Source organism: Homo sapiens, chromosome 20, assembly GCF_000001405.40.
Source record: "Homo sapiens chromosome 20, GRCh38.p14 Primary Assembly".
Lineage (NCBI taxonomy): Eukaryota > Metazoa > Chordata > Mammalia > Primates > Hominidae > Homo > Homo sapiens.
In genome coordinates this window covers 4,591,308-4,600,185 of record NC_000020.11, presented here as the reverse complement: position 1 = coordinate 4,600,185, position 8,878 = coordinate 4,591,308, and the positions used below count along the sequence as shown (strand labels likewise).

The 8,878-nt window shown below is 42.1% G+C and overlaps 1 annotated feature.

The window, feature by feature from the left end:
• Nucleotides 7,324-7,473: a silencer, noted in NCBI's record as "silent region_12642". NCBI's record gives its function as "represses an Ori minimal core promoter by ATAC-STARR-seq in GM12878 lymphoblastoid cells {active_cell/tissue: GM12878}" and the evidence as "EXISTENCE:reporter gene assay evidence [ECO:0000049][PMID:35858748]".

Genomic DNA, 8,878 nt, shown 5'->3' with positions numbered 1-8,878 from the left:
ATACACTGTTATGTAAGATATACTGCTACTTTATTAACTTCTAAGAAAAAAAATCAATTATAATTAAAGACAGAATTTAACCTCACGATCACAGGGAAGTTAAATAGTGAAACAATGTATATCTCATATATAATTGATAAATATGGTAAGTATTCACTCAAAATAATAACAATATAAATTATTATCATTATTGCTATGCCTTTTATTATGATATAACAATTATGATATAATAAAAGACTTAGCCATAATTATAATAATTTATGTGAACAAAAGAACAATTTATGTTTTAAAAGAAGTCAGAACTAAAACTGTAGATAAGAATGACATAGTTGCTGGTGGGAGCTAAGTTATGAGAAAAGGGAAAGAACTGAAAATTCCAAACCTTGTTTAAAAAGGGGGTACACTGTCTTGATTTGTGAGAAATATATGAAATTAAGATGCCTATGACAAATATGAAAGTAACTACTAAATGAATAAAACAAAAATATTTAAATTCCAAGCAGGCAGGGAGAACAAAAGGGAATAAAGAACGGATGTGCAACGCCAGTTAGAATGGTGATCATTCAAAAGTCAGGAAACAACAGATGCTGGCGAGGCTGTGCAGAAATAGAAACACTTTTACACTGTTGGTGGGAGTATAAATTAGTTCAACCATTGTGGAAGACAGTGTGGCGATTCCTCAAGGATCTGGAACCAGAAATTTGACCCAGCAGTCCCATTACTGAGTATATACCCAAGGAATTATAAATCATTCTACTGTAAAGACACATGCACACGTATGTTTATTGCAGCACTGTTCACAATAGCAAAGACTTGGAATCAACCCAAGTGCCCATCAATGACAGACTGGATAAAGAAAACATGGCACATATACACCATGGAATACTATGCTGCCATAAAAAAGAATGAGTTCATGTCCTTTGCAGGGACATGGATGAAGCTGGAAGCCATCAGTCTCAGCAAACTAACACAGGAACAGAAAACCAAACACCACATGTTCTCACTCATAAGCGGGAGTTGAACAGTGAGAACATGTGGACACAGGCAGGGGAACATCACATACCAGGGCCTGTCGGCGGGTGAAGGGCAAGGAGAGGGAGAGCATTAGGACAAACACCTAATGCATGTGGGGCTTAAAACCTAGATGACAGGCTGATGGGTGCAGCAAACCACCATGGCACATGTATACTTATGTAACAAACCTGCACATTCTGCACGCGTATCCCAGAACTTAAAGTAAAATAAAAAATAAAAATAAGATAAAAAAAGAAAGCATGTGCAATCTACCAGAAGTCAGAGAAGGAAAAAAAGTCAGCAAAGGGGAAGCAGGTTAAGTAGTAAACACAGCACTAAGTGACAGAAATAAGTCCAATGTAATGGTAATCACAATAAAAAATAAATAGGTGATAGACCCCTCATAGTCACCTAATCTAGATATCCAGATATTTTTGGATTAGAGCAAAAGCCACAATTACATGAAGTGTAGTTCTATGCTGTTTATGAGAAACATAAATCAAAAGACACTACAACATTAAAATGAAAGGGGCAACCACCAGGCCAATGTTAATGACACTAAAAAAGACAATGCAGCAATGCTAATATCAGACAAGATAAAATTTTAGGAAAAAAGGCAGTAAAAAAGACAAAGAGAGATGTCTCATACTGGAACAGTCCACCAAGAAAATACAACACAGGAACTTGTATGCTCCTAGAAGGATAGTCTCAGAACAATAAATAAATTATACAGTCACAAAAGAAATAGACACAGAATCAGAATTAGAGGTTTGGGGCCACATCTCTTAGAATAGATTAAAGCATTGAGAAAAAGAATATGGCCAGGCATGGTGGCTCATTCCTGTAATCCCAGCACTTTGGGAGGCTGGGGCTGGTGGATCACCTGAGGTCAGGAGTTAGAGACCAGCCTGGCCAACATGGTGAAACCCCATCTCTACTAAAAATATAAAAATTAGCTGGTGCGGTGGTGCATGCCTGTAATCCCAGCTACTCAGGAAGTTAAGGCAGAGAATTACTTGAACCGAGCAGGTGGAGGTTGTGAGCTGAGATTGTGCCACTGCACTGTAGCCTGGGCAACAGAGCGAGACTCTGTCTCAGACAAAAAAAAAAAAAAAAAAAAAAAAAAAAAAAGAAGGAAAGAAAAAAAGTAGATTGAAAGGAAAAGAAATAGAATCAGGATGGCCAATGAATGAATGAATAAGAAAATCAGGATTAATACACCTGAGCATAAAGGGAGGGGCTGAAAGGGGGAAGAGAGGAGAGAGAGGGAGGGAGGAGGGGAAGAGAAATGGAGAGAGAGAACAGAAATCTTTGACCCCATAGAAAGCATACATGTTTTTTAAACTTTTAGGTTCAGGGGTACATGTGCAGGTTTGTTTTACAGGTAAACCCATGTCATGGTGGTTTGCTGTACATATTATTTCATCGAACTCAGGTACTAAGCCTAGTACCCAATAGTTATATTTTCTGCTCCTCTTCCTCCTCCCATCCTCCCACCTCAAGTAGGCCCCAGTGTGTTTTGTTCTCCTGTTTGTGTCCTTGAGTTCTCATCATTTAGCTTCCACTTATAAGTGAGAACGATAAATAAATTATACAGTCACAAAAGAAATAGACACAGAATCAGAATTAGAGATTTGGGGCCACATGCCTTAGTTTGCTAAGGATAACTGCCTCCAGCTCCATCCACGTTCCCACAAAAGACATTATCTTATTCTTTTTTATGGCTGTATAGTATTCCGCAGTGTATGTGTACCACATTTTCGTTATCCAATCTGTCATTATTGGGCATTTAGGCTGATTCTATGTCTTTGCTATTGTGAATAGTGCTTCAGTGAACATATGCGTGCATGTGTCTTTATGATAGAGTGATTTATGTTTTGGAGGGTATATACCCAGTAATGAGATTGCTGGGTTGAATGGTAGCTCTGTTTTTAGCTCTTTGTGGAGTCACCACACTGCTTTCCACAATGGTTGAACTAATTTACACTTCCACCAACACATACTCCCAGTGTATAAGCATTCCCTTCTCTCTGCAACCTCACCGGCATCTGTTATTTTTTGACTTTTAATAATAGCCATTCTGACTAGTGTGAGATGGTATCTCACTGTGGTTTCGATTTGGATTTCTCTAATGATCAGTGATATTGACCTTTTTTTCATATGCTTGTTGGCTGTGTGTATGTCTTCTTTTGAAAATGGTCTGTTCATGTCCTTTGCCCAATTTTTAATGGGGGTTGTTTTTCCCTTGTAAATTTGTTTAAGTTCCTTATAGATGCTGGATATTAGACCTTTGTCAGATGCATAGTTTGCAAATATTTTCTCCCATTCTTTAGGTTGTCTGTTTACTCTGTTGATAGTTTCTTTTGCTGTGCAGAAGCTCTTAAGTTTAATTAGATTCCATTTGTCAATTATTGAAAGCATACAGTTTTTTTCTCACAAGACCACATAAAACCTTTCCCAAAATTGACCATATATTGAGCTACAGAAGAAATTTCAACAGATTCTAAAGAATTCGTTTACAGACCACATTTTTCTGATCTCAATGAAATAAAATTGAAATAATTCAGGGATTAATAAGGAAAACATAATAGAAAATCTGAAGTATTTATCTTAGGCAATAATACCAATTTTACTTCGCCAAATTTGTGAGATGAAACTAAAGTGGTCCTTAGAGGTAAATTTTTTATTCTAAGATAAACTTGTTAGAAAAGAAAGACTAAAAATAAATTAAACTATTTGTTATGAGCTTTAATAACATCCAAAATATGCATGGGAGAGAAAGAAAAGCACTCTGAACATGTTAAACGGCTTTAAAAAATAATATTTAAAAAATGAAAACTTGTTGAATGAAGGTAAAATGAGCATTAGAGGTAAATTTATAGCCCAAATGTACATTTAAAAAGTATAATCTGAATCTAACAATGAGGAAAGAATTATAGGACATTCTGCAACTTATTTTCAAATGGTTCATATACATAAATAAAGATTTTTCATAGTCTCAGTGTTGACAAGGGCAAACAATTAGAAATAACTTAAATATCCACCCACAGGAGAATATGATGAGTAAATGAACAGTGATTACTTACACAATATAAAATAACAGCTATAAACATGAGTGAGTTACAGCTATACAGATCCCCACAGAAGAATCTCACAAACAGCCCAGGCACGGTGGCTCATGCCTGTAATCCCAGCACTTTGTAAGGCCAAGGTGGGTGGATCACCTGAGGTCAGGAGTTCGAGACCAGCTTGGCCAACATGGTGAAACTCCGTCCCTACTAAAAATACAAAAATTAGCCAGGCATGGTGGCACATGTCTGTAATCTCAGCTACTCGGGAGGCTGAGGCAGGAGAATAGCTTGAACCTGGGAGGCAGAGGTTGCAGTGCAGTGAGCAGACATGGCACCACTGCACTCCAGCCTGGGCGACAGAGCGAGACTCCTTCTCAAAAACAAAACCAGAAGAATGTCACAAACACAAGCAGAAAGCCAACTTGCAGAGGATTTCATGTGTTATGATGCATTCATTTATTAAAGTTTAAACATACTAGACAGTGTTTGAGGATGCATACATTTGTGGTGAATGTTGAAATGAATGCATGGGAACGGTGAATAGCAGATTCAAGATAATGTTCAGCTCTAGGGAACATGAGCAGGCAGACATGGTCCTGGAGGCATTCACAGGGGGTTTCAACTGCATTGCTTTAAGGTGTTACATTTTTAAGCTTGATGGTGGATACATGAGTGTAGATAAAATTATTATTTATGCTATTCTATAATTTTAACAATTATACCACAGATAATCACTACTACATTTGATGTATGTCTTTACAGTGTAAAATACACAGACATCACATATATATGTGTGCCATAACAAATCTGCCTTCTTAAAAGAAGTCTGTGTTTTAAATTTATCCTTTTATGCTCAAGAGTCTTGTTCTTGGCTGATTCCTGGACTAGAAGCCTATTAAATGCAACTGATAGCTGTCCGTGGCATAAATTAATAAGCAAACATTGGGTGTTTCATTTTTGTGTAATTGCTTACCAGGGCAGGGCTGGGCAAATGTGGAAGATCAGTTGGATATCTGAAAACACTATATGAAATGATATTCCACCTGGCACACTTTCGTCTAAAGAGTGTCTGGTTAGTTGAAGCAGAGTAACAGCATTTCATGTTCATTTCAGATTTTCTTCTGGGAAATTCAGCCCATTCAATTTAAGTAACTGGCTGCTGTATTCAACCTGCATCTACATCACATTGAATTTACTAAAATATATGTTTATAATGGACCTCATTTTATGCCAATGTACACAAAGTAGACTTCAATTTGTATCACAGCTGGGTTTAGGAGAAGCTGCATAAAAACTGAACTTTTATAAATTTAATGCCTTCTCCCCATTGATTTACATTACAATGTCAGATGCTTTGATTTCCTTTTTGAAGCTTTTTAGTAAAAGGTGAAAAGAGTGACACATTAGCAACAAAAATCTCTTTAAATGGCTAATGATCCATCAGAAGCTTTTCAATTGCTTTAGGTTCACTTTTAATGGAATCCTTTTCTAATATGTGTATTTATAGCTCCTATTCTCAAGACCCAGTCATCAAACCCTTCCACGTGTGAATAATTATCCATCTAATTACAATCACGTAATCCTGTTATCAGCCAGACTTGTTCTCATGTTATCGTTGATAAAGTGCCCATGAAGGTGATGTGAGGAGCCAAGCTCTTTGTGTCCTTCTGTGTGCCCAGGAGATGGGCAGAAAAATATGCAATTTCTCATGTTTTCAGTTTATGTTTTACCATGAGTTTGAAGGAATCTTCCTTGTGAAGCCTCAGTCTTTGCAATGATGGTTTACATTCTGAGCATCCTGTGGAAGGAACAGACTGTTCCAGCACCAGGAGGGGATCCGTCCAACCCGGGCAGAAGGATGGTGAATAAGGAATGTCAAGGAGCAGATTCCTACCCTTGAAGGAAGATTCACTTGAAAGTAATTTACTAAGGGGTAGGCCTCAGGAAAACCCAGGGAGTGAGGAATTGGGACTGGGAAGGGAAGGAGGCCAGGCGAGAGTGCAGAGTGGAGCTGCAGTGTGGCTCCTGCTTCCCCAACCACCTGTCATGATGAAGATCTGCCCTCGGGGGCTGTGATGGTTACTTTTATGTGCCAACTTGGCTGGGTCGCAGGTTGTCTGGATGTTTAGTCAAACATTCTGAGTGTTTCTGTGATAGGGTGTTTTTAGATGAGATTAACATTTAAATCAGTAAGGCTGATTGACCTCTGCAATGTGGGTGGGCCTTGTCCAATCCGCTCAAGGCCTGAATAGAACAATAATGTGGAACGTCCTCCAATTAAGAGGGAATTTCTCCTTCCCGACTACCTTCAAGTTGGGACATCAACTTGCTTCTTGCCTTTGGACTTGGACTGAAACATTGGCTCTTGAGCCTGGCAGCTTTAGGACTGGAACCAACCATGGGATCTCCTGGCTTGCCAATGCAGATCTTGGGACTTGTCAGCCTTCATGATCATGAGGCAATCCCTTATAATAAATCGATTTCTCTCTCTCATATATATATATGTACACACACATATATATGTATACACACACATGCATACATACATATACGTATATATACACACACGCATATGTATACATGTATATATGTAATCCCATAAGTTCTGTTTCTCTGGGGAACTCTAATATAGGTAAATACGTCCCCTGATCCCTGGCACTTCCAGGCTGCTGCATGTGGTCCAGGGAGGCTCCAGCAGCCTGGGACAGCCCTGCAACAGAGAAGCAAGAAGATGCTGGCTGTCTCCCCACAGAGAAGGCACGCAGAGGACAGGGGCACAGGAAGAAGGAGGGGCACCGAGGGAATGTGTGGAGGCACGGGTCTGCTACACACGTAGTAACTCACTAACCTTACACCAAATCAGGACGCAGATACTACAGTTATCCCCGTTTCATAGATGAGGAACCCGAGCATGAGGAGAGTCAGCAAGCCGTGGAGCTAACTCAGATCTTGACCGCTGCTTTGGAGGAAAGTTGTGAAATATCCTGCTGGGCTAGAGGTAAAGGGAGGAATAAGCAGTCATCAACACCCCTACGAGGCTGAGTTAATTCAAGGAGTCGAGCAAAAGAGGCAAGGGGAGGGGTAGCTGACAGCTGGGGGCAGAGGAGAAATGCTTGGACAGGGGATGCCGGGGAGAGCGGAGGACTCTGTCGCGCTGACCAGGGCATTCCCCAGCGTGGACTGCAGAAGGACTGCAGCAGAGACGATCTCTGCAGACAGGTCCTTTTCCTCACTGCCCTCAAACACCCAGCGTGGGCTGCTGCCCGCCGGGCCTAGGCTGGAACCAACCACAGGCTTCTCCGAGGACGCGAGGGTCTCAGCCGGCGGCGTTCCCGGCGTGGCCGCGAGAGGGCGCGCCAGCCTCGGGCACCGCCGGGGTCGCGTCCTCCGCGGGAAGCCTGGCAGCCGCGCGTCCACTCCAGGCTGCCTTGGGGAGGGGGTGCCCCGGGGCATTTCCTCAGAGCCCTCCAGCTCCGCCTCACTTTAGAGCACCGCCGCCCCTTTCTGCCCCCTTTCCCAGGTGGCAGCGTATGGGCGCGATTTAGACGGTATGGGACGTTGCCCTGCCCGCCACCCCCTGCCCTCATAGCCTAGTGCAAAGTCTGAAAAAGAAACTGGCCTTGGTGGGTCCTGAAAGATTGCAAATCTGGATAAGTAAACAAAATCTGAAGGCAGCCTCTTAAGTTTAAACCTGGGCCTTGCTTCTGTTTGCTTTGGCTTGAAAACGTTTGGGGGTGGGGCTAGGCGTCAAGATGGAGTGACTGTACCAGCATACCACATTAAAGGGACTGTGCGGTTCCTCCACACAACGGGAGGGTCCTTCCGCACGGAATACAACACCCCCACTATCGAAAGCAAGCCCCTCTTGAGGGCCACCTCCTCCAGGAAGCCCCCGCCCGCAGGAGGACCCTCTGAATGTTGGCATTACTGGCCTGCCCACTGGTCCCTCTGCCCATCCCAGGAGCAACGCCCTGGGAATGCCCCTGGCAGGGGCCAGTTCCTGTCTGTACCCGAGACCCTGAGCTCTTGCAAATTAGAGATGGTTATTCTTTCCCTACTAGGAATTGTAGGCTGGAGTCTACATAGAGTAAGAGAAGAAGGCCAATCACCGACCTGGAATTCCTAGCACCCCTTTGACCCGGCCTTCAGGTCAGAGCTGGCTGCGGGTAGATGGGCCATGGGGGAGATGGGCTTGAAACAATAATGCATAGGCCGTGGGGAAAAGGGAGAGAGAAATTAATGTCCCTTCCAGGTACTCTCCTGGACTGTAGAATGAATGTCTACAGAAGAGTATATGGTCTTATGGGGAAACTGAAGTCCAGAAAGGAGAATATTCCCAGCCAGGATCACACAAGCAATCAAACACCATTCAGATACAGTTAAATCGACTGGACCAACAATCCAAAGGTTTCCGTCCTGGAAGCTGTGTTGCTTTGGGCAACTTGTTTACACCACGGAGGCCTTCATTTCTGAATGTGTGAAACGGTGAAGTTCTGCGGTGTGCAGTGTAAAATGGGGCGGGTGTGTGTGTGCAAAAGCAACAACCCAGGTGTGCAGACCTGCCTCTGCCAGAGTGACCCTTCCCCTAACAGCATCTAACCCAAGAATGGGAGAATTGCTTGCTATGGAGAAATCTAAATATCACACATCAAACCCATAGGAAACATTAGAAAATATATAGTCATCTGCCTTGAAGGGCAGATACGTGAACTTTTTAACCCAGAGCAGTTGCTACCCAGCTAGCTTTGAAATTTACTGCTTTTGGTCAAAATATGCTCTTCAGCTAGTGCTTT